We start from the raw sequence: 26,759 nt of genomic DNA on the forward strand, positions 1-26,759 counted from the left end.
CCTTCTATACTTCTTTCACTGCAGGTGTACATTGATTTACAGACAACACTTTCAGTAGCATTGTTTTAGATCCTGTCAGTTATCAATAACTGCAACCCTTCCATAATCTGTTTCATTCACAGCACTCTTGGATTCTATCTTTCTAGCTCATTCTTTACAGTACCCTGATTTCAACATTCTTTGGCTCTGTTGGGATGTCCATTCCATTGGCCTACCCCATTTTTAGTGCTCTGTACTTTCTTGATGTGATCATTAGAATGATTTCCTTGCATACACTCTTGCTTCTTTCTTGCTTCGTTCTACTTGTTGGGCAAAACTAAAATTCTGGTTAAATCCAACTTTTACCTTCTCTGCACTTGTATTTATGCAGCTGAACTTGAAAGGAGAAAAACATATACCTATATACCAGTCTTTAAGTTCATGGCTACAATCCTTAGAGTGGGCCCTTACTATTGCCTGGAAATTGTATTATACTATGTTGTACTTCCCTGGTTCTTTCACTTTCCTAGTACTGTTTCACACCTAGTCCTCTGATAAACTTCAGTACTACCTCATTCATCCTCACCTTAACTAATGACCTTGCTTTATGCTTTAAGAAATTTGCAATCCAGGGAAAACATACACAGGTTCTTATAATGTTTATCATTAGTCCATGCAAAATTAGAATGATGCCTTTTTTCGTGATAATATTTTTTGTGTTAAGGTCTGTTTTGTGTATTACAGATAGAGATAAATCAGCTGGGGTGGTAGTTGGTTATGGGATTTTCTGTTCTTAAATCTTTTTTTTTTTTTTTTTTTTTTTTGAGATGAAGTCTCGCTCTGTCACCAGGCTAGAGTGCAATGGCGTGATCTCGGCTCACTGCAGCCTCTGCCTCCCAGGTTCAAGCAGTTCTCCTGCGTCAGCCCCCCGAGTAGCTGGGATTACAGGCATGTGCCACCATGCCCAGCTAATTTTTATGTTTTTAGTAGAGACGGGGTTTCACCATGTTGGCCAGGATGGTCTCGATCTCTTGACCTTGTGATCCATCCACCCTGACCTCCCAGATGCTGGGATTACAGGCGTGAGCCACCATGCCCGGCTCTGTTCTTAAATCTTTTATGTGTCCTTATGTATGTGGAATGGACATCAGACAGTTATAGTATACAGTTACTTAATTAAATTGTGCAAAGTACTGTGAAGGAGGATAATGTGGGTAATATGCATTTCATAGGGGTAATATTAGTATGTAATTTTACCAAAGGCTAAAAATATTAGCCTGTATCATTTACCAAAGGGTTATTCTAATTTCTGAAGGGTAGCCAGCAAGAAGATAGGTACAAAATGAAAATGACTGTGAAAGGCCAGAGATCTGGAAAAAACTCTTTTTATGTGACATTCTTGGTAGTTGGAGGGAGCTAGGGTGTGTGTGGTCCGAGATGAAAACTAGAAAGGTGGGCAGGGGTTTTGAGCAGGGGAAAGCAATCACATTTTCCCTCTTAAGTTTGTGTTAATCCCATAGTTTGGAAATTGAGCATTGTGAATTGTTCTGACTATATGAATTATTGTACTCAGCAGTTTTAATCTCTGTCAGATTCTCTGTAGCAGATGTTATAATACTTCTCCACTTTTTTTTTTTTTTTTTTACAAACCCCCAAGCCTGCCTTCTTTCCACTTTGTATTAAGCTTTGCTGACCAAGAAGGAGGTCTGATATGAACTTCCTCAACTTTTCTCTTCCAGATTTTCACAAGTAGCCTCATTCAGCTTTATACTTTATAGTTCCTGTCTCCTGTTTGAGCACTGTATACTGCTTAAATTCCATGGTTTAACTCTTTGAGCTGTACACATCTTTTGTCATCTTAGTTTCTTAAAGAGTACAAGGGCTAAAAAGTGAATTCATTTTCATTGTCCATAATTAACAACCTGTTTTTTGTTTTGTTTTGTTTTTTAAAGATGGAGTCTTGCTCTGTCACTCAGGCTGGAGTGCAGTGGCGTGGTCTTGGCTCACTACAACCTCTGCCTCCCGGGTTCAAGTGATTCTTCTGCCTCAGCCTCCCGAGTAGCTTGGACTACAGGCGTCCGCCACCACACCCGGCTAATTTTTGTATTTTTAGTAGAGATGGGGTTTCACTATGTTGGCCAGGGTGGTCTTGAACCCCTGACCTCGTGATCCGCCTGCCTCGGCCTCCCAAAGTGCTGGGATTACAGGCGTGAGCCACCGTGCCTGGCCAACAAACTGTTTTTTCAGATTATTGCATATAATCTGTTTTCCTCCACATTCACCACTGATCAAAAAGCAATATTTAATCCCCTTTTAAAAGGAGAGAAAAACATCAGATAAATCTCAACTTGCCTTTACCCATCCTCCTCTACCCTACCTTCTAGGACTTAAAAAAAAATACTTTCTCTCATAAAGAGAACATATTTACCTTGTAGAAATATTGTTCTGCCTGCTATGTAGAGAACAGGTTGGTGCATAGGAGAAAGACTGAGTTTGAAGAGACAGGTGATGATAGTCAATACTATTGAAAATAAATGATGGAGGTTGTGTCTAGAGTGGTGACAGCGGATATGGAGAATAGTGGACAGACTAGAAAACTATTAAAGAGGTGGGATTGATAGGAGTTAGTGAATGATGGACATGGTGAATGATGGGATGCAGTGAGTAAAGAAGAAGGCATTGTCAAAGATAACTCAGGCTTTTGACATGAGCAACTGAGATAATAGCAATAGTAGTACTATTTACTGAGCTAGAGAAAGCCAGAGAAGGAGCAGAGTGGGGTAGATCAGAGATGATCTGGATTTGAATATGATGTGATTGTGGTACCTTTCCAAAATCTAAATACAGATGTCAACTGGGTATTTGGGTGGACTGGTATAGAGCTCAGAGATCTGAGTTGGAGAAATAAAATTACTAGTCTAGGGATGGTATTGGAAAATGTGGGTTTAGAAGAGCTCACTTTGGGCCAGGTATTGTGGCTCACACCTGTAATCCTAGCACTTTGGGAGGCCGAGGTGGGTCGATCACTTGAACTCAGGAGTGTGTAACCAGCCTGGGCAACATGGTGATACCCCGTCTCTACAAAAAATACAAAAATTAGCCAGGCATGGTGGCTTGCACCTGTAGTCTCAGCTACTTGAGGGGGCTGAGGCGGGAGGATCACTTGAGCCAAGGAGGCAGAGGTTACAGTGAGCCAGGATGGCGCCCCTGCATTCCAGCCTGGGCGACAGAGTGAGACCCTGTCTTAAAAAAAAAAAAAAAAGAACTCACGTTGGTGGATGGGAAAAGGACCTAGACCTAGGATTAAATCCTGAGATTTGGTAGAGGAAGTTAAGCCTACAAAGTAGATTGGGAAGGACTAACCAGAAGAATAGAGAAACCTTGAAGCCAAAGAAAGGCATTAATTGGTTTAAAGAGCAGAGAGAGTCGTCAGGCATAAAATGTTGCTTAAATATTAAGTAAAATTAGGGCCAAAATATGTTGGATTTAGAGATAGTGAGGTCATTAATGACCCTGGTAATAAATGTTCCACTGGTTTTTTTTACTTTTGTTTTTATTTTTTGAGACAGGGTCTTGCTCTGTTATGCAGCCTGGAACGTACTGTTGCAAACACGGCTCATGACAGCCCTGACCCCCTGGGCTCAAGGCATTCTCCTTGCTGAGCCTCCCCAGTAGCTGGAACCACAGCATGTGCCACCATGCTCAGCTAAATTTTAAATTTTTTGTAGAGATGGGGTCTTGCCATGTTGCCTAGGCTTGTTCCACTGGTTTGATAGAAGGAGATGTCAGGTTGCATTGGGTTGCAGAAGGGAGTGTGAGAGTTAAGGAAATAGAAGTTTATACAACTCTCACAATAAGATTGACTGTGAAAGACGAGCATGATACCTGGAGAGGGAGATGTGAGATTGAAGGTGATAGGTCAAAGGAGGATTTCAAAAATGAATGAATGGTCCAGTTGGGTGTGGCAGGTGGACGAGAGCCAAGGAATAATCAATAATGTAAGATATTAGGGAAATGAGAGGGAGATGAGCTCTAGTACTCATGTAGAGGAGGTTGCGTTTAGATTGGAGGGAAGAACAGCATGGGGGAAAGTGCTGTTCTAATAGGAAAAATGTTGTGTATTTATTACTTCACTGAATATAAATTTACTGTCAACATTAACCCAGAGGGTTGATAGCCTTTTATGCCATTTATGTGATGCAATTCCTATTTGACAATTATATCATTTTATACTGCTAGCTACTTGACTGTTCCTACCAGAAAAACCTATTTTTTTCCCCTTGACCAAAAACAATATATGCAGTAAATAATCTGGTTGTATGGAAAGATTAATCTTTATGTATGACATCATTTCCCCCTGTGGTTAGGGCACTTCGTTTTTATTCCACTGAAGGGAGTTTAGTCAGAGCTTATATTTTCACTTTCTGTGACTTTTTTCTCCTGTATTTAATTAATTATAGCAAAATTCCACTATAGGAAGAAAGCATAGTAGAATTTATTGACTAAGCTTGACCCAAAGAGTAGTCTAGTGTTATGGCCCCAGAAAAGCACAACTTCTTTTTCTTCAGAAGACTTTTATGTCAGAGTGGATTTTTGAATAGATAATGTTTGTATACATCACAAATTCAAGAGATACAAAACTGCATACCACACTGTCTTCTCCTGTTCCCTTATTCACCTGCTTTCCTTCTCAACTGGTATTACTATTTTCTTAAGTATCTTTCCAGAGTCTATGCATCTACAGATAAACTCATGTAAATATAGTTTTGTTATTTATTTACATAAATGCTATAATGTATCTTTTTTCATTAAAATTGCGTGAGAACTGTTTCTTACCTCTCTATATAAAGTGCTTTCTCATTTTTTTAATGGCCACATTGTATGAACATACCATGATGAGCTAACTTTTGTCCTGTTTGTGGTCAATACTAGTCTTTTGTGATTGATTTGAGCATATTTAAGTGGTTTTGACTGCAATACCGGTTACTAATTTAGGTAGTATAAATTAAATCTCAGTTAACACTCAAATTTAAGGAACTTGAAAGATAATCATTAAATTGAATGATGTGCCATATTGTCATTTTTTTTTAACAGGGAAAAACAATCTAGATTTACCTGTTTTATCCACACAACTTATTTCTTGAAGAAACAAGCGTTGTATGGTCATTTTAACAAATTTACTTTTTAGTCTGATGCTGTATTATGTACTTTGAAAATATCCAGTGCTGCCTTCTTTCACAAATTGAGACTTTTGATGCTTGTCCTATATAGCTGACATTAATTCCATCTGAGTATATTTTCTCAGATATTTTAGCTTTAAGAAGAATTTTTTTTTTTTTTTTTTTTTTTTTTTTGGAGACTAAGTCTCACTCTGTCGCCCAGGCTGGAGTGCAGTGGCGGGACCTCGGCTCACTGCAAGCTCCACCTCCCGGGTTCAAGTGATTCTCCTGCTTCAGCCTCCTAAGTAGCTGAGATTACAGGTGCCTGCCACCACGCCTGGCTAATTTTTGTATTTTTAGTAGAGATGGGCTTTGACCATCTCGGCCAGGCTGGTCTTGAACTCCTGATCTCGTGATCCACCTGCCTCGGCCTCCCAAAGTGCTGGGAATACAAACGTGAGCCACCGTGCCCAGCCTTAAGAAGAATCATTATTCCAGAATATACAATTTGAATCTCCATAATAGAATTAACTCTCATTTTTATTCAGTTAGAAAATCTTTGTCCCCCCCACTGCTAAATTTGACTGGCTTAAAAAAAAGAACTTGGGTTTATTCCTCATACCTGGGGGTATTTTGTATCTGTGAATATTTTATTTCGTGTTTGTATTGACAGCATGCTTTATTTATAACGGTCTCCGTTGGTTTAACTGTTACTCCCTCTGTTGGCTTTCAGAGGTGTTACATTTTTTTGTAATGGTGTCAGAAAAAATATTTATGCTGATTTTCACTTAGCCTCCAACATTAGTATTATAATTGATACAAATATGCTTGTGAAGTAGGCTACACACAAGATTGTTTTATTTATTTTTTATTTATTTTATTTATTTTTTTGAGATGGAGTCTTGCTCTGTCACCCAGGCTGGAACGCAGTGGCGTGATCTTGGCTCACTGCAACCTCCGCCTCCCAGGTTCAAGCAGTTCTTTTGCCTCAGCCTCCCGAGTAGCTGGGACTACAGGCGCTCGCCACCATGCCTGGCCAATTTTTGTATTTTTAGTAGAGACGGGGTTTCACCATGTTGGCCAGACTGGTCTCGAACTTCCAACCTCAGGTGATCCACTTGCCTCCACCTCCTAAAGTGCTGGGATAACAGGTGTGAGCCACCACTCCTGGCCTAGGATTGTTTTAAATTAACAGATGTTTCAGTGGCCATGAATGTTCTGGTTTCCATGAATGTGTTAAGGAAACTTAATCAGAATGCCTGTTTTATCAACAGCTGAGAACAGGGCTATGAAAAACAACAGGCATATAGAATATTTATGTTTGTATTAAGCAAAAAGTGGGCTTGGCATGTTAGATCTGTTTTAAAGGATTTTGCAAATATTTCCTAGTTTTTGTCTGCTATAGATTGAACTATCTAGGTAACTTGATGGAGTGAGATGATGGAGATGCCATATTGCACCTAGCATACCGTATAGAATAATGGTTATGTGTGTCTGTGACCTATGGACATGATAGTTGCTTTCTGTAATGTAACACATACAGGGCAAGGTATTTACTTGTTTTCCATATTTAGCATCCTCTTTAAAAACCACCAGATTTTCAATAGGTTCTTGGAAACTGCGACTTTAAATGGAACAAGATACTGCTGGTCTTTGAATGATGTCCTTTAGTTATAAGGTTAATGAGAAAAATTGGTTTTGTTAAATGTCATTTCACTTAAAGTCTCAGTTTCCAAGAACCTGTTGACAATGTTAAGTAAGGACTTAACTGTATATAGGTCATAAGCTTTTGAGGTTAAATATTATGTCCTGTACCTGTATGGTTAATTGGAGTTGTATCACTCACAGTGGTGGTAGAGTGTTAGGTTCTAAATTTAGCATACAAAGTGTACAATGGGTGTAGAGTATTTTCTCTTAAATCCCTTTATTCATTCATAGAATATACTAGGCTTTCTGGGTTCTGTATTTAGTGACCATTGTGGATAAAACATCTATTTAAACACTAGACTCAAATTCAGCATGATGAGGTATGTGGGAGCTAGGTAGGATTGAGGAAGCATCAAATTCTGGCTTTTCATCTTAATGCTTCACTAGAGCAACTCCTATTGAGGGGACTGCAGACAAGTTGGATGCATAGTATTTGGTTGCTCATTTGCCAAATGCATGTAGTTGGAGTGTGTTTGTGTTTTTGTTTTTTTAAACATAAATGTAGGGGCCAGGCACGGTGGCTTACTCCTGTAATCCCAGCAGTTTGGGAGGCCACAGTGGGTGGATCACTTGAGCTCAGGAGTTCGAGACCAGCCTGGGCAACATGGTGAAATCCTGTCTCTACAAAAAATACAAAAATTAGCCGGGTGTGGTGGTGTGCGCCTGTAGTCCCAGCCATTTGGAAGGCTGAGGCAAGAGAATTGCTTGAGCCAGGGCAACGGAGGTTGCAGTGAACTGAGATTGCACCATTGCACTCCAGCCTGGGTGGCAGAGTAAGACCCTGTCTCAAAAACAAACAAACAAACAAACAAAAACATTTGATGTTTCTCTATTGTAACTCCCCTCCTCCCACCTCCTTTCTTTTTGGATTTGAATGTAAAAGTAGTCATTCCAGGTAATGCATTTCTAGACTAGTTTTAAAGCATTCTTTTTCATTTATATCAAAGTCAATGAATGCATATTAATTATATCAGAGTTTTGAAGATTTCTTTGTAGAACACTTTAAATAAAATTGTAAACTTGAAAATGTTCATTACATGTTGGCCTTTCAAGTTAGAGGATTAATATTATGGCATTTTTAGTAGCTCAGTATGCTTAGATTTTGACCGTATTAAGTCCTTTGAATTTGACTGTTGATCAAACAAGCAGATAATAATATATATATATTTTAAAGGCCTGTGTAATAGTAAGTTTTGCCCCACCCACTTAGAAAGGTAGGCATGTTGTGTTGACTAAATAATCTGGCATTCTGTTTATTGACTTTGTGTGTTTTTGTACAGGTTGCTTTCCTGTTGCATCTTTGATATCATTTCCTAGACTCTACTCCATGATTTAACTTGAAATTCTGAAATGAAGATGGAGGAGGCAGTGGGAAAAGTTGAAGAACTCATTGAGTCCGAAGCCCCACCAAAAGCATCTGAACAAGAGACAGCCAAGGAGGAAGATGGATCTGTAGAACTGGAATCTCAAGTTCAGAAAGATGGTGTAGCGGATTCTACAGTTATTTCTTCAATGCCCTGCTTGTTGATGGAACTGAGAAGGGACTCTTCTGAGTCTCAGTTAGCATCCACAGAGAGTGACAAGCCTACAACTGGCCGAGTTTATGAGAGTGACTCCTCTAATCACTGCATGCTTTCCCCTTCCTCTAGTGGTCACCTGGCTGATTCAGATACGTTGTCTTCCGCAGAAGAGAATGAACCCTCTCAGGCAGAAACGGCGGTAGAAGGAGACCCTTCAGGAGTGTCTGGTGCCACAGTTGGGCGCAAGTCTAGGCGGTCCCGATCTGAAAGTGAAACTTCCACTATGGCTGCCAAGAAAAACCGGCAATCCAGTGATAAACAGAATGGCCGAGTCGCCAAGGTTAAAGGTCATCGGAGCCAAAAGCACAAGGAGAGGATCAGGCTACTGAGGCAGAAACGGGAGGCTGCTGCAAGGAAGAAATATAACCTGCTGCAGGACAGTAGTACCAGTGATAGTGACCTGACTTGTGACTCAAGCACGAGCTCATCAGATGATGATGAAGAGGTTTCAGGGAGCAGCAAGACAATCACTGCAGAGATACCAGGTAGAGGATGTTTTTTAAACTGACTGTAAAGTACCTGATGGCATTTCTCAGCTATCAGGTTCAGTTAGATGAGTGACACTTGAAAAAATCCAGGAGACCTGCAGCTCTGTGTAAATTTGAAGACTGCAGTCTATTAACAAGACATGGCCAATTTATAAAACCTGTTCTGAGGTTTCCAGTGAACTTTAGCACATCAGGAAAAACAAAATTAAAGGGTTAATGATAGGGACAAGATTATTTTTAAGTAATGGAATTTCTCATAAGTCTGTCTGTAACACATTACCTGAACTCCCAATCATTGCCTTTTTGGCACTGCTTAGATTTAATACTCACTGTTCGGCATCATTACTGAGTACATTCTCCTCAGGAATAGGCACCTTGCTTTATTATATAGCCACTGCACTTGAGCTTATAGTGTCTGAAATAACACATTCTATCTTTTGTTAAAGTTTTCTAATAATTTTTCCTCCAAAAACAGTAGTTTTATGTGTTTCCCCCATATTCAATGCATGAGAAGCTAGTTATCCTTGTTACAAATCTTTCTATCCTCACGTTGAAAAGAATGTCTTTCTGAAAAATTTCCCATTAGTTCCCCAAGTTTTAAAAAAGTTTGTTAGAAATCCGCTTGTTCTAGCTCTCATTGGTATAAGGGTCTGTAACTTATTACATATTTGGTAAATCTGCTTTCCCCATTCTTATTGCATCTGGTACTGTGTACTATAATACAAAGGCAGTCTTGAGATTTCATAGTGGAAGAAAGATGTATCTGAATGGTTCTTAAGTAGTGAATTCTTATTATCCAAGAGATCCTTACAATATGATCAGGAACATTTTGTAAACTGTATGGCATTGAATAGGTCATGGCAGTATTGTTTATTGCCACATTGAAGAGGGGCAAGTTTGGGTTTTCTAAAGTTTTATGGGTGACTATGTTTTTTCTCTCCCTGTTTTCTGAAAGCTTTCTGTTTCTACATGTGAAGACAGCATATTGCTGATATACAAAGAACATTTCAAGAGAAATCATATTGGTTAATGGAATCTATAGCTTCCCAAACTTATATAAATTCAGTAACAAGAATGATTGGTTTTAAAGCACTTTATAGGTGTTCAAGTTCTGATAATAAGTCTTGTCCATATAATATAAATATGAGTCTCAAACGATCTTTAGAAATGCTTTTTACTGTTTTAATATCTCTATTGGATTCCTTTGCTATTGTTCCTTGTAATAAAACTACCGGGAGGGGGATTTCAATGAAGCTCATCAGTTAAATGTATGAGAGAAACAGACTTTGGGGTTGTTCTAAGGCAGGTTTTAGGTATATATTTTAGTTTTACATGTATTAATATTTTTAAAAAAACCTTATTAATACCTGTAAAATTGTGCATTCCTATATCCTCTTCTAACCTCTTAATCAAGACCTTGATGGAACTCTTAATACAATACTTACTTCCACTTACTAAGCAGGATTTTATGTAACTACCCCAATACTTTGCCTTTTTGTGGAAAGGAAGAAGGTGGGTAAACAAAATTTAAAGTCAGAACCCTATTGTAAGGTGGCTTGAGAAATGTCTTCATAGGCACTTTCCCTGTTTTGCTTAAATAGGTTAGATGTGCTTTGTTCATATTTTCCTAATCTTCTTTCTAATTGAGTATCTTGACCACTGCTTAAAACTTAAAACACCAGTGTCTGTTTCTTGTCTCTTCTGAATTGTGTACTAACTGAACACCAAAGTAAATTAATTTGAATCTATAGTTTGGTTTCTATTGTTCACACCATTTAGTAACTTTGTGGCTTTTGAAAATACACATAGTTTTCTAAGGTAATCCTGGAGAATCAAATGGTAGATTGAGGTACAGGGTCACTGTATGTGACTGCCTGTGTGTGTGCTGGCAGTTTTGGGAGGTCTTATGGTATACCTGCCATTCCCATAAGACAGGTATGAATGATCTTTACTGGAATTATGCAAAGCAGCAAAAATGGAACAACTTAGAGTTCAAATATTAGGAATTTCATTTCAATTGTCCATATTGTTGTCTCTTGAAAAATTGTGACATTGTGAATTTTTAATGTAACAGTGATGTATCTTTCAGTTTACTGAGTCACCTTATGACTTTGGGGAAGAGAGGAGGCACGTTCAACCTTATAGTAAGAGCAGTTGTCGAAAAGTTGCCTAAATTGTAAAGGTAGGATAAATTATGAACTGACTTGAGTTCAACAACATGGACATTCAGGTGAACTTAAGCTGGATGGGCCTAACAGAATCTCTTGGATGTCGGAATGTTAATTCAGCTGTTTACACAGAATGGAAACCAAGTGGAAAAGTAAAAACCGATTATTGCCATACTCTTTCATTAAGGTACAACCAATTTAGTAATTCAGAAAATGCTCTTTATAAGCTTTTGTTTGGGCTCAGCTTAAAAGTTGAAGGCATTATCCTAAATAATTCCTGTTAGGATATCCTAATACCTTAATCCTAAATGTTATGCCAAATAATTGTAACTGTTAATGCATATTCTTTTAGAGAGTGCAAATAATTAATAATGCAGACCAGTGTAGTGCATGATCATACTTTAATTGAGTTTGATATCTGGGCAACAGATGTTTATGACGATTTTTTAAAGTTAGCAGTTAACTGACAGGCAGCTTAGTATCGGCACTAGATCATCTCTCTTTGAAGTTTTTGGAAATATATTGATGTTTTAAGAATCTGTTTGGAGGTATCATATCAAAATAATGCTGGCAGTACTTTCATTTGGCAGACTTAGAGTTGAGTAAAGGGCATTTTATAGTAAATTTATAATATTTTATAGTGAATTCATGTAAAAGTACTATGTGATGGTTATCTTGAGTATCAAGGCTTTTTATCAAGTGATTTCTTTTTTTTTTTTTTTGAGACCGAGTCTTGCTCTGTCACCAGGCTGGAGTGCAGTGGCGCGATCTCTGCTCACTGCAACCTCCGCCTCCCAGGTTCAAGCGATTCTCCTGCCTCAGCCTCCCAAGTAGCTGTGACTACAGGCGTGTGCCACCATGCCCAGCTAATTTTTTTGTATTTTTAGTAGAGACGGGGTTTCACCATGTTGGCCAGGATGGTCTTGATCTCCTGACCTTGTGATCCGCTTGCCTTGGCCTCCCAAGTGCTGTGATTACAGGTGTGAGCCACCACGCCCGGCCATTATCAAGTGGTTTCCTTATGCATTATCTTTTTGTGCTTTGATCATGCTCTGCAGTTTTATGATTAGAGTATTACTGTTCATGGGGGGTCAGTTTCTCTGTAAAAGCAGTTTTGAGACTAGCTCTATAAAATCTGTAGTTGGAGGGATTTTGATTTTAATGTAAATAATGGACATTAGCCTTCATTCAGTTTGAAAAAGTTAATTTTTTGAACATACTAACATACGTGCATCGGTGTACATGGTCAGTGGGGAAAAGTTTTTCCAGTAACTGTTTTTCATAAATATTTAGCAGAGTGGACCTCCATACAGGGTAGCTTTATCTTGTCTTGTCTTTAATGACCTGCTTTGTGGTTAAATGCTTATTCACACCGAAGTTCCAAAAATAATACCCCTCGTGGCAGGTAAGAGTCGGTTGTCTTGGTTTGTTTGCCTTTGAAAATCTCATTTCTTTTGGAGAATGTCATTGAGGCTACTGAGGACAGCTGTTTAAGTTTACTTGAATTCTCAATCCATGCAGCCAGGCTAGACCAGCTCAGCCCCACTTCAAGACAAAATCTCAGCACCCATTACTCACCATACATATTTATGCAGTGAGCTGCATCATGACCAGCTATCATCTTACCTCATAGTTTTTTTCTCTGGTAGAGATAATTAACTTATTATGCTTGATCAGTTAACTCTTGCTTAGAAATTTAAAAAATATTTTTAAGTGACAAATTCTTTGTAGAAATTTTTGAAAATAGAAATATTTGAAGTAGAAAGTTAAAATCACCCACAATTCTGCTTTTGTTAACATTTGAATATGTTGTCTTCCATGATATATAACAAAATTTGTCTGGGTATTGCATATGTCGTCCTTTCCTTCTTAATATTGCATTTTGAGCATTTAACCAGAACACTAAATATTCTCCCTAGAACATATGGATTTTGAATAATTTAGCTAATTATAAAAATAACTTCCCTAATGGTCCTTTGGGCTCTTTTAAGTTTTTGCTGTTATACGTTCAGGGTATGAACACTTAAGGCTCTTGACCACATACTGCCATACTGCCATACTGCCATACTGCTTTTAAAAAATAATTAAGCTGAGTGCGATGGCTCACGCCTGTAATCCCAGCACTCTGGGAGGCCAAGTCAGGTGGTTCATTTGAGGCCAGGAGTTTGAGACCAGCCTGGTGAACTTGGTGAAACCTCATCGCTACTAGAAATACAAAAGTTAGCCAGGTGTAGCAGCATGTACCAGTAGTCCCAGCTGCTCCGGAGGCTGGTGTGGGAGGATTGCTTGAGCCCAGGAGGCAGAGGCTGTAGTGAGCCATGATTGAGCCTCTGCACTCCAGCCTGGGTGACAGAGCGAGACTCTGTCTCAAAAAAATCCAAACAAAAACAAAAATAAGTTTATTTCACCTGGGAGCTTGAGTGTTCATGCATTGTATTCTTGCTATTGAATATTAATTTTTTTTAAAAGCTTGCTGATTTGATAGAAGAATGATATCTTGCTGGTGTGGTGTCTCATGCCTGTAATCCCAGCACTTTGGGAGGCTGAGGCAGATGGATTACCTGAGGTCAGGAGTTCGAGACCAGCCTGGCCAACATGGTGAAACCCCATCTCTACTAAAAATACAAAAAAAAAAAAAGAAAAATTAGCCGGGTGTGGTGGCGCGCGTCTGTAGTCCCAGCTACTCGGGAGGCTGAGGCAGGAGAATCACTTGAACCTGGGAGGTGGATGTTGCAGTGAGCCGAGGTCATGCCACTGCACTCCAGCCTGGGTGACAGCAAGACTCCATTAAAAAAAAAAAAAAAGGTATTTTGATGTTAATTTGCATTTCTTTGATCACTAGTGAAATTGAAAAACGTTTAGCTATTTGTATTCCTTTGGTAAAGTCTGTTCATATTCTTTGCACATTTTTCTTCTGACGTGTTTTTTCTTACTAATTTTTGAGGCTTTTTAACCTTTTGGGGGTTTAATTGCTTGGCAAATTTTAAATATAAGGCAGTGAGGAGGATTCATGGTTGAAGATCCCAAACCCACATAGTGAATCCATGAAGCGCAGTAATTGACCTTTTTCCTAGATTGAATATCAAAGGATTTCAGTGGCTAAAAGCCTCATGTCCCTATTTTAAGCCTTTTGTAATCTGGTTGTAGTTTGGTAGCTATTTAAGAGACTCACAAAATACATTGATAACAAAACACTGACACAGAATAATCAGGTAAAAACTGTCTATTTTCAGATTGGTAAATGCAAATCAGATGGGTAAAATACATATGGTTTGCAATCTGGCTATGTATTAGAATCAGCTGGGTGGTATTTAAACCATCTGATGCCCAGACCCCACTTTAGCCCCATTCAATCAGAATCTTTGGGGTCTGACCCCAGGCATCAGCTTTAAATGATTGACCTTAGGTGATGACACTGAGTAGCCAGGGCTCAGAACCGCTCAGTTAAGCAGTGATATGTTAAGTTTCCTGTATCTGAAAATCACTGTGAAACTGGTAGTCTGGTTCAATTAAGTTCTCTTACTGCTAATGGGTATCAAGTTCTAAACAGTGGAGTCTGGTTTTTTTGAAATTACATTAGTTATAAATCACAGCACAGTTCTATATTAATTAACAAGCATTAAGTGCCCTCTTTTACTTCATTTAAGCGATTATTTGAAAAGCATGCAATGTCTAAATGTGGTTTTCTGTACGCTACAAGGTCTAGATGATGTTAATTAAAAAGCTTTGAAGTCTTACTGGTGGGTATCCTTTGGCAATTTCTCATGTTGAAGCACCAAGATACTATTTTTGGCCTGCTTATTTTCTGAAGTGAGTGCCTATATTAACTTTGTAAAAGGAAAAGGTCTTTTTCTCAAAATAGGATATATCTTAGTGTTAATAAAAGAGCATGTGTGTGTTTAAGGTGAGAATGTGGTCCCTTTTTTTGTCATTGTTTTTTAATAGATTTTGCTTCTAGAGCAGTTTTAAGTTCGTAGCAAAATCGAGCAGAGGAGACAGAGAGTTCCCATGTACCCCCTTCTCCCACGTAGCCACGGCTTCCCCTACTATCAACATCCTGCACTAGAATGGACATTTGTTACAATTATGAACCTACATTGACACATCATTATCACCCAAAGTCTGTAGTTTACTGTTAGGGTTCACTCTTGGTGTTGTAAGTTCTGTGGGCTTTGATAAATGCGTAAGTGGTTCCTGTTTTTAAGGGCTCAAAATGTCTTGCTTATCAGTGATTATTGCTTGTAGGAATCTATGAGGCTACAACTTATCTCACTGCCCCCAGCATAAATGTTCTTATACCATTATCAGCTTTTAAATACCCATTTTTAGTATTCATTGAGAAATAAGTAATGCGAGAATCTAAAGCAGATCAAAGGAGCCATCCGATTTCCTGTCCTATGCTTAAGTTTGCCCAGCACTTATAATGGGGCTTAAAGGAAGTTAAACTTTAGATTTCATTTAGTCTTTTTTTCCATAAGCTAAACATACTAACCTTTGGGGAAAGGTATGTCCTTCTTGAGGGAGTTTTCGTATAAACAAAACTTTTTTAAAAAGTGAAAACAGCATAGGGGATGGAGTAATCAGAGGAAAAGGAACATTATGAAATTAGGCAGAGGTTGGTGACCGACTTCATGAGGTTTTTGTTTGCTGGATAGAGCTGGGCTAAATGTTTGTCTCACAGCCTTTTAGGCATTGAAAATAGGTGGCCTGACTGATTTAAACATTCTTTTTTATCTAGGAGAAACAGTTATATTTGATAGTGAGACAGGGGAAACTTCTCTTTGCATCTTCATAAAAGGCCACTATGTGATAAAGCAAACCATGTTTTCACAAATTAGTTTAACAAATGCTCAATAGAGCATTTCATAAGAGCATTATTTATAAGACTCTTGATGTAGGTTGATGGTATAAGGCTAAGATTGGTTGATTCCATCAATCATTCTTTTATTCAGCAAGTATCTGAGCACCCAGTCCATTGGCTTTGGGGATACAACAGTGAAAGAAGTCTCTGTTGTCATGGAACTTAATCTTTCATGAGGAGACAATAAATGAATTTATCATATGTTATCAGGTAGGGATATATGATGTGAATAATAATAAAGCAGGATATAAGAGATAAAGATTAGGAATGGGGTAGAAAAGCTATTTTAGTCAAGAATGATCTGAGGAAGTAACATTTTTATTAGGTCCCTTAGAATGAAGAGTTCAATATAGTTATTTTATTAGAGACCCAAACTATAGGTGACCCAAACCAAAGATAATCTAGCCTAGTTCAAGGATGAAATTATATATATATGGGGCCATATCCTAAACTGGACCACTATGCTACTGGGTATTAATAGTTGTACACATGTTCAGGTGTTTGGAAAGTGCTGGATTATGTGTTAACAGATGCCTTTTGTTTTAAACCACAGGGCACTTCAGCCATTAATGAATGTGCTCTCCAGAGGGGAAGGATGTGATTTGTAGTATATCCCAAACTTAACTACATTTTTTTGTGTGTGTGTATGGCATGCATTTTAACACTTCACACAGACCAGCGTTTGTAAAAGCTGACCCAGAGGTATTCTGTATCATCTCCTTCCTGTGGTTTTCCATAAGAATTAAAAAAAAATTAAAACAGATCTTTTGTGTGATAAGAATCATCACCTAAGAGTGATTGTGTAATGATTGAGTATGGGCCAGCTGACAAAACAACTTTTTAGAATTTTAAAGTGAAAGGAGTTAAAATACTCAAGAATGTAGTGGTTCTCAACTAAGGACATACATTAAAATCACCTGGGGAGCTTAAACCGAAACAAATCTTAGAAGACTTGGAGCCACCCTAGGTTTTGGTATTTGTTAAGCCACTCCAGTTCTTATTGTTCAGCAAAGGTTGGAAACTACTGTTAAAGATTCAGTCAGTTGTATTCAGTCTGTGTAGTAACAGAATACATGCTGCTAGGTAGATAAATTAAAGCTATGAAAAATGATAATGTTAGTCATTTTATTTTTTTGGAATTAGTGACTTTGATTAATGAATTTAATCACTGCCTATGAATGCTGGATCTATCAGGCTCTTCTTAGCAATGCTTGTGTCATTTTCCTGAGTAAGTGTGTCTTAATAAAAATACAATTTCCGAAGCAATAATGTTTTATGAAATGGCCTCAGTGTCTTTAAAGGTGCCTTCAGTCATGCTGCGGGATCTGAAGGAGTGCCCAGGGAAGTTACAGGATTACTTGACAGGGGTACTGTGTGATAGGAACTGCACAGGCAGTGGCCTAGAAGAGGCCAGGAGCTGTTTTTCCAAGATGCAGAGGCAGACAGAGAAGTTCCACGTGTGGATGGAAAAGGTAACTCATCTTGACACTGGCGAAGAGAACAAGCAGCTACTGGAACCCAGGGGACCTAAGATGCAACTAGTTGGCCAAAGAATTTTCCCTGTCACCCCATCAAGTGCTTACATGGCAGATGCCTGATTTCCAAGTACTGCCACAGCAGCCCTTTGGTTCTTACCTGACTTGTCCAAATATTGACAGTATGTCAGAGTTCCCAAAGATGTATAATTGCAATTTTCTAGTTAACGTTGCTGGAAATGGAAATATTACAGAACAACCTTTGAATCTATCACAAAATTAATTGTATTGACAATCTGCGTTTTGGATTGTGTAAGAAATAATATGCTTTTGCCCATTGTAAGTTTCTTTTGATGATGTTGCTGTTTTTTTTTGAGACGAAGTCTCGCTTTGTCGCGCAGGCTGGAGTGCAATGGCGCGATCTCGGCCCACTGCAAACTCCGCCTCCTGGGTTCAAGCGATTCTCCTGTCTCAGCCTCCCGAGTATCTGGGATTCCAGGAGCCCGCCACCACGCCTGGCTAATTTTCTTTGTATTTTTAGTAGAGACAGGGTTTCACTATGTTGGTCAAGCTGGTCTCGAACTCCTGACCTCGTGCTCCGCCCACCTTAGCCTCCCAAAGTGCTGGGATTACAGGCTTGAGCCACCGAGCCCAGCCCTGATGATGTTTTAAAAGCTGCAGTAGTAAACAGTTTCTTTTTTAAAAATTAGGTATTCACAACAGAAAGCCCCAGAATTTGGTAAATTTTAGCTTGAGTTTTGTTATGTATGGTGGGAACATAGAACCATATTTATACAATAGTGGGAGCCATCCTCTTCCTTGCTTTTTACCAAAAATATAAATAAAACAAAAAACTGAAAATTTTAGTGAACCCAAATAGGTAGATGGTTAATTCCTTGAGAATCTCTTAGCACTTACTCTCTACAGACACTGTTGACTTCTGCTTCTAATTGGGGGACCTCATAGTTAACTGTAAAGATCATAGTTACTCCATGAACATTTTTGTGTCATTATTCCACATGTCATTTAATAATCTAATTTGTTGCTAGTTTTCATGAATTATATTCCGTATTACTTGTATGCAGGAAGAACACAATTCGTTTCTGAGCAAATATTTGCTATGTGCCTACTATGCAAGATAATGTAGGAAAAGCAGATTAGACTGCAGCTTGATTTCATGCATGAGAAAAATAGTATTTTTCATTGATATGGAGATGGATTTTTATTTTGAGCTTTAATTTAAAGCTCAGTGCCCAAGGCAATAATCTGGTAGGCATCAGCCAGTGGAATTTCTGGTACTCTGTTGTAAAGGATACCTGTAGAGGGTAAAGATAAAATGGTCACTATATCAAGGGTATGTATTGGGTGGGGTTTTAAATTGCTAGTGACTAAGTTTATTAATGAATGTACTACCAGTTTAATTTTGTTTTCAATCCTCAAACTAAAAATAAATGGGCCTTAGTTATGTTAAAGAGCTCATAGAGTGTGTCAAAAGATAGAAAATACCACAGGATTGAAGGTCTTGCAACATGATAGATGTTTTTATGTGCAGCCTGGGATTGGTAAATGCTGGCATTTTATCTTTTAAAGATTTCTAGTAATACTGTGAGACACAGCTAAATTAGGATGACAGTCTTCAATAGGAATTTGTAAGTTTGCTGACACTAAGTGGTTTTTTAAAACTGGGTTTTCCACTGGATTTACTTTTTTTTTTTTTTTTTTGAGATGGAGTTTCGCTCTTGTTGCCCAGGCTGGAGTGCAATGGTGGGATCTTGGCCCACTGCAACCTCTGCCTCCGGGGTTCAAGTAGTTCTCCTGCCTCAGCCTCCCAAGTAGCTGGGATTGCAGGCGCCTGCCACCATGCCCAGCTAATTTTTGTATTTTAAGTAGAGATGGGGGTTTCACCATGTTGGCCAGGCTGATCTCGAACTCCTGACCTCAGGTGATCCACCCACCTCCACCTCCCAAAGTGTTGGGATTACAGGCATGAGCCACTGCGCCTGGCCTGGATTTATTTTTGAGAGGAAATTATTCTTTCACATTTATAATAACATCAATATGAAAAAGGTTCATTTTATTTAATGAAGTTGCCACTTTGGAAAAAAACGTAATTCTGCATGTGTTTTTTAAGAGGAAGTATAGGCGGTATATTTAGAGTCGTATATAAACAATCAAGATCTTCGATGTCTCAATATTTCTTAGGAACGTTACTCAGAAAAAATGTCACCACTTTGTTTTAATTCAGTTCTATATCCACATATTTGTAACTTGTAAATTACCAGTAATAGACTGAACCACATTTTTTCCTTTTCTGGTTTTGAATTGAAAAATTACTGCTTTATTTGTTTTTTTCCTTTTAGAACTGGTTTTATGAGAATTGGAAGTTAACTTTGGGGATGGCTTATTTCTGTGCTCAGTTTTTGTTTAGGGATATATACATCCTTGTATAAGGATACATATATAAATATATACATATGACTAGAGGTCTCTGCATTTTTTTTTTCCATTTTTTGAGATGGAGTTTTGCTCTCGTTGCCCAGGCTGGAATGCAATGGCACGAACCCGACTCACTGCAACTTCCGCCTCCCAGGTTCAAGTGATTCTCCTGCCTCAGCCTCCTAAGTAGTTGGGATTACAAGCATGTGCTACCATGCCTGGCTAATTTTTGTATTTTTAGTAGAGATGGGGTTTCTCCATGTTGGTCAGGCCGGTCTTGAACTCCCAACCTCAGGTGATCTGCCTGCCTCAGCCTCCCAAAGTGCTGGGATTATAGGCGTGAGCCACTGTGCCTGGCCGATCTCTTTTTTTTGTGTGTAATGATTTTTAGATTTTCTGAACTTAATTTTGACCAGTAGAGGTAAGGTTTGAACACCAAGCAACTTACAATAAATAATGTTAGTATGATTTTTCAGTATAAAATATATGAGTTTATTATAACTGATGGGTTTCCCTCTGAAATTATAGTGCAACATTGGTTAACTATTTCCTCAAACAGATTTTTTTTAAAATTAAGTTTTACATCAACAGGAAGAGCATATTGGTTTTGGATGACTGACTGAATTTTAATGAATCTACAGTCTTTACTTGAAGTTTAGGTGTTTTCAGGGAAGTTCTGTCTTCACCTTCTTCCTGGAAACCCAGATTTTTATTAGACATGGATTTTTAGATGTAAGAAAATATTAATTTAATTTCATCATGTTAAGGACTACTTTTCTATGCATGTGTAAACTGCTTCAAGCACTTAACAGGCTTCTTTTTTGTTTTATGATACGATAATTAATATATTAAGCATGCTTTGAAATGCATTTTAAGATAGAAAAGGTTAATCTTTTAAGAATAACATAGACAACTTATTGCTAGTATTGTATTGACTGGATCCATTCTGATTTTTATTGTTATTGAATAATCAGGCAAGAGCTCTGTAGATTTTTTTTTGCCTTTAAGAAAAAAATTTCAGTGGAATGGAATTAACAAACATAGGTAGCCTTTTTTATTTTTTGGGAGATAGGGTCTCACTCTGTCATCTACACTGGAGTGCAGAGGTGCCATCTTGTCTCACTGTAACCTCTGCCTCCCAGGTTCAAGCAATCCTCCCGCCTCAGCCTCCCAAATAGGTGGGACTAGCACCTGGCTAATTTTTATATATTTTGTAGGGACGGGGTTCTGTTATGTTGTTCAGGCTGGCCTCAGACGCCTGGGCTTAAGCGATCTGCACACCTTGGCCTCTCAAAGTGCTGAGATTCTGTGGGATTCGCACCTGGCCTAAAACATAGGTATTAATAGTTATATTCAAGGTAAGAATAACATTTTGAATATTTGAAAAGGTGTTGAACACTAATAATTTTGGAAAGCCTTTTCTACAAAATTTTGAGGAAAGGAAGAAAAAGAAGTTTTGGCAGAAAGATAAGGAATGCCAGAATACACTGATTAAATTCTTAGAACCTATACCAAAATATTAAAAATTTTTCCTAAAGTAAAATTTGACATTCTGTGGTTTGGAGAGTTTAACTTTAGGAGTAATTTATAACAGAATCATATATATGAAAAATTTTTATCTTGATTTTCAGTTTTTGCAGAGTGCTTTGAAGGTAATACATTGCTGTCTGAAGGAGTGTTGTTTTGAAAAAAAAAAATAGATTTTGCTTTAAAGTGGTTACACCTTTTCCAGGTAGTGCAATTAAAAAATTCCCCTTTCAACATACTTTGTTTTTATATTACAGACATTTAAAAAAGTGTCAATATGGTAAGTACTTGTTGTTTTTTGAGACAGAGTCTCGCTCTGTCGTCCAGGCTGGAGTGCAGTGGCGCGATCTCAGCTCACTGCAAGCTCCGTCTCCCGGGTTCATGCCATTCTCCTGCCTCAGCCTCCTGAGTAGCTGGGACTACAGGTGCCTGCCACCACGCCCGGCTAATTTTTTGTATTTTTAGTAGAGACAGGGTTTCACTGTAGCCAGGATGGTCTCGATCTCCTGACGTCATGATCCGCCTGCCTCAGCCTCCCAAAGTGCTGGTGTTGTTTTTTTAATTTTTTTGAGATGAGGTCTCGCTCTATTGCCCAGGCTGGAGTGCAGTGGCACGATCACAGCTCACTGCACCCTCAACCTCCCAGGCTCAAGTGATCTTCCCTAGTAGCTGGGACCGCAAATGTGTGCCACCATGTCTGGCTAATTTTCTTATTTTTTGCAAAGGTGGGGTCTTGCTCTGTTGCCCAGGCTGGTCTTAAACTCCTAAGCTCAAGGGATCCCCCAGCCTCGGCCTCCCAAAGTGCTGGGATTACAGGTACGAGCCACCACGCCTCGCCTTGTGAAGTAGTGTTTTTTGTTTGTTTGTTTGTTTGTTTTTGAGACAGAGTCTCGCTTTGTCGCCCAGGCTATAGTGCAATGGCACGATCTTGGCTCACTGAACCTCCACTTCCTGGGTTCAAGCGATTCTCCTGCCTCAGCCTACTGAGTTGCTGGGATTACAGGTGCCCACAACTGGCCCGGCTAATTTTTGTATTTTTAGTAGGGATGGGGTTTCACCATACTGGCCAGGCTGGTTTCAAACTCCTGACCTCAGGTGATCTGCCTGCCTCAGCCTCCCAAAGTGCTGGGATTACAGGCGTGAGGCACCGCGCCTGGCCTGTGAAGTAGTTTTAATATGTACATTTTTTACATGACTAGTGTAGGTTATTGCATTCTCTTTCCCTGAGGCAGTCTGTATTCTCAAGATTACATGTATAGTACTAATAATAGTAATAAGTGGGAATTACTTTTGGATTACATGACGGCATTTTTATGTAGCTATTGTTTAAGTCCCTAGTGGCCCTCCCTTCGTTTCCTCTGAATTCCCTTAATTTTCCTAGAATTTTAAGAAGGTTAAGGACCATGTCCTGTTTGTATTTATTTGTACTCTATGAAGGGTTAATGCTGGAAAGAAATCTCTTTCAACCTACAACACTAATCCAGAAATGGTTGAAATGCTTTTTTATTTAAGAATAAAATCCCATATCCGGACTATTGTATCTCTCTAATATGTGCATATGGAATTTTCCCTTTGTCTAATCTATCAGATAATTTTTTTCTCTTGTTTTCATGGGAGAGAATTAAAAGGATTAAGCTGCAGACTTTTAAAAAAGTTACTTCATTTAAAAAATCGCCGAATGTTGTAAAAAGAATAACTTGAGAAATGTTAGGAAACAAATTATAGTTTTAACTACCACAGTTATAATTTTATTACTGGTTGTTACATGTTGATACTTCCTTTTAGTGTTTCTTTTTAGTTGGCATTTAAGAGGCCATTATCCTCTCACTAAAGGTAAATGTGTTTTTGATAATCTAGCTACAGCCTGCTTTCTGCCTAGTTTGTGCTAGCTCAGTCCTAGGACATTAGATATCTAATCATCTTAAGAGAATTCAACCAGCGGATTAGAGTGATCTGGTTATTTGAGCCACTTATTAGACAATAATAACTCTCTTAATCATATTGATTGTACTTTTTGTACATTATTAAAATTGAGCATAATTTTTAAAGCCCACATAAAATTTTAATTTAGAGCCCAACAAGGTCAAGTTAAAATCTTAAGGCTTAATATTTTACATGAAGTTTTACTTTTTTAAAAATTAGGAGTAGCATACAAATTATTTGGAGGGCTCCAAGGGAAAGTGTTATCTGTTTTTTGTTTGTATGGATTTTTACTAAGAGAAATTAGCCTGGTTTCAGGGATGTGTGTATGCATGTGTGTACCCATCTTCAGAATTCTGAAGTAACTGAATTTCATTAATATTAGACTTGACAAATGGCTGGAGGCAGATAACTGTACAGTTGCTACAGTGATTTCGAATGGATTCAGATTATTAATATAATACCTGTTTATTGCTTCCTAAAGGTATGTAAGAAAATAAAAGTTGCCTACATATAAACCTAGTTATGGTAATTAAGCTTGAGAAAAAATGTCTTTTTAAAAATGATTAAAGGTTTGGGGCTTTTTTTTTTTTTTTTTTTTTTTTAAATCTCACTAGCAGACCGAATAGAAGAATATACAGTAACTAATTTATTTTGAGTATTGCTTTTGTCATTCCCTGCTGTTACTAAGATTTAACAGCAAGAGTCTCTGGGTCTAGGTATATCTCAATTTACATACGATTTTTCTTTCTTTTTTTTTTTGTTTTTTGTTTTTTGTTTTTTTTTGAGACAGAGTTTTGCTCTTGTTGCCCAGGCTGGAGTGCAATGGCATGATCTCGGCTCACTGCAACCTCCACCTCCCAGGTTCAAGTGATTCTCCTGCCTCAGCTACCCGAGTAGCTGGGATTATAGGCGCCTGCCACCATGCCCGGCTAATTTTCTGTATTTTTAGTAGAGATAGGGGTTCACCATGTTGGCCAGGCTGGTCTCGAACTCCTGACCTCAGGTGGTCCATCCGTCTTGGCCCCCCAGAGTGCTGCCACAGCGCTCAGTCTGATTTATTTCTTAAAAGTTGTATGCAGAATGATTTAAAGTGTATTAAGTCTGCTTGTTAATGAAAGAAACAATATAGTGAATTCTTTTTTAACCAAAGTACCCTAAATTGATATTACTGGTAATTTTTATTTTTAACATATAGCTGACTTTGCCTAAAGGTATACAGTTACATGAATGTTATAAGAAAGATGGCAAACAGGCTTTGTGTTATCATTTGTTTAAAATAGCAAATTATGGGCAAGTTATCTTACAAAAAGGTAGCCTTTTAAATTAATTGTACCTTTTATATTTTATTTAGCTTATGTTGATTTTCATCTCCCCTTTTAAAAAATTATTTAAATAGTACAGTGAGGGTGAAATGAAAAAGATTTTGTGGAATGCCACATGTCAGAAAATACAGTGTCAAAACAATTTCAGTAAATTTTTTTTCTCAAAATCCTCTTCAAAAATACCATATGCCCTTAATCCTAGTACAGATAAAAAACATGTCATTTTAATTTGTTTAGAAGTTACGAGATTGTGAATTGTAAGTAACAGGGAATAACTTCCAAGTTTCTTTACTCATTTTTCCCCCGATTTCTATTTTTATTTCCTCTGAAGTTTAGGAAAGTTAGTGGAAGTTGCAACCAAACTGTTTGTTTGCTAGTATTGAGTAGATATTCTCATGTTGTATTAAATTACCACAGTGTAAAATAGAAGATGTCATAAAAAGTGAAGGAATAATCCACAAAGAAGTGTATTCTATGGCAATTAAGTCTTATTCCTAATATAACTTTAAGATTTGGGAAGAATGTTATGAAATTACTGTTTTTATTTTATTGCATTTTCTTAATATCCTTTTCCTCACTGTGCATTTGACATGTAACCTAGATGAATAAAAATTTTGAAAAAGAAATGTTTCCTGTTACTCTGTTGAGGATGGGGTTATGTGGTTCCCTACCAGTTAATTCACATTAGGTGTTCCTGAATCAAGAAACTTGCTTTTCTGTAATGAAATAAATGGTATTAGTTTCTAGTTAATATAACAATAGATTTTGCATATTTGGCAGATTATTTTTAGTTTTTTTGGTAATTGAAAAAAAGAATACCACTGTGAACATAAAAAGTCAAGATTCTTTTTCTTTAAACTATATGTCCTACTAAACTGTCCTATTAAAAATTGATGGATATTTGGAAAAATAGCAAAATTTAGACTGATTCAAGGAGAAATCAAAAGGCTAGAATGTGGAATGGATGACTCTTTAGCAGGGTACATAGACATAGGGATGTGGCTAATATATCTAAATTTTGTGCTCTTTCTTGCTGTATGTAGTACAGATATTTTAGTTTTTTTATCTATGGATCTAAATCCTCAAAGCAGTAGGTCATGGATTTGTCCCTGAAATAGATAAATTGAAAGATGGTGACCTCTTCAGGTGCCTCATTTCTGTATTTATAGCTTCTCTTAAATATCCAGATGAATTACCTGAGTTATCTTCCAAATAACCCCACTTGAATCAGAGGCTTCATAACTTTATAGTTAGTGGTGACACATTAAATTGTTTTTTCTTTTGATCAGCTTTTCCATTACTCTGATAATCTTGGATCTTTGCTTTTACCTCTTTTGATCTTTTCAAAATGGTAAACCCTTCATGAATATCATAAATAGCTTTCCTGGGTGGACAAAATGATGTAACATTTACCAGTATAAGGACAAATGTAATCCTTAAAATCTTATTTTCATCTTGGAAACTTTATAATAAAAAGTTTAAATTTTTAATAATTGAGTATAATGGAAAAAGTACAAAATACATTCATTTGGTTTTATTTTAAAAACGACTTAATTCCGAAACAAAGTTTCAGTGCATATTGCTGCATTTCGTTTCCATGTAGCCCTATCTTAGACATTTTTCCTTTTACTGAAATAATTTTCTGATGTTATTCTGAAGAAAATAATACACATGTAGTTTTTGGTATTTAAGGCTTTTTTCTGGAAATGGCCCTTTATAGATTTTTATCTTTTGTTGATGAAATTCTTCTTTTCTAAGAGATGTTTTGAAAATGACTGCTTTCTTTTCAAATTATTCTGCATGTATTTTCTATTTTCTTGATTGATATTTTTACACTTGATCTTAGTTAAAAGGCCGAGAAGCGATGATTGGTATTTTTATTACTATTTTTTCTCTTTCTTTTTTGAGATGGAGTCTTGCTCTGTTGCCAAGGCTGGAGTGCAGTGGCGCAATCTTGGCTTACTGCAACCTCTGCCTCCCAGGTTCAAGTGATTCTCCTGCCTCAGCCTCCCGAGTAGCTGGGACTGCAGGCGTATGCCACTCTGCTGGGCTAATTTCTGTATTTTTAGTAGAGACGGGGGTTTCACTATGTTGCCCAGGCTGGTCTCGAACTCCAGATCTCAAGTGATCCACC

The 26,759-nt window shown here is 37.8% G+C and overlaps 1 protein-coding gene across 4 annotated transcripts in view, besides 1 other annotated feature; it reads left to right on the plus strand.

The window, feature by feature from the left end:
- Nucleotides 1–26,759, plus strand: part of ARK2N (arkadia (RNF111) N-terminal like PKA signaling regulator 2N) — a 93,440-nt gene that overhangs the window by 34,133 nt on the left and 32,548 nt on the right. For all 4 annotated transcript variants that reach the window (XM_011525822.3, XM_017025555.2, NM_145055.5 and 1 more), the window contains exon 2: nucleotides 8,126–8,910. In XM_011525822.3, coding sequence (XP_011524124.1) covers nucleotides 8,196–8,910 — 715 coding nt within the window. In that variant the 5' untranslated portion in view covers nucleotides 8,126–8,195. The remainder of the gene's footprint in view (nucleotides 1–8,125; nucleotides 8,911–26,759) is intronic.
- Nucleotides 12,525–12,725: a silencer, noted in NCBI's record as "peak3131 fragment used in MPRA reporter construct". NCBI's record gives its function as "represses an SCP1 promoter by STARR-seq MPRAs in K562 erythroleukemia cells {active_cell/tissue: K562}" and the evidence as "EXISTENCE:reporter gene assay evidence [ECO:0000049][PMID:32103011]".

The sequence above is a fragment of the Homo sapiens genome, chromosome 18, assembly GCF_000001405.40.
Source record: "Homo sapiens chromosome 18, GRCh38.p14 Primary Assembly".
Lineage (NCBI taxonomy): Eukaryota > Metazoa > Chordata > Mammalia > Primates > Hominidae > Homo > Homo sapiens.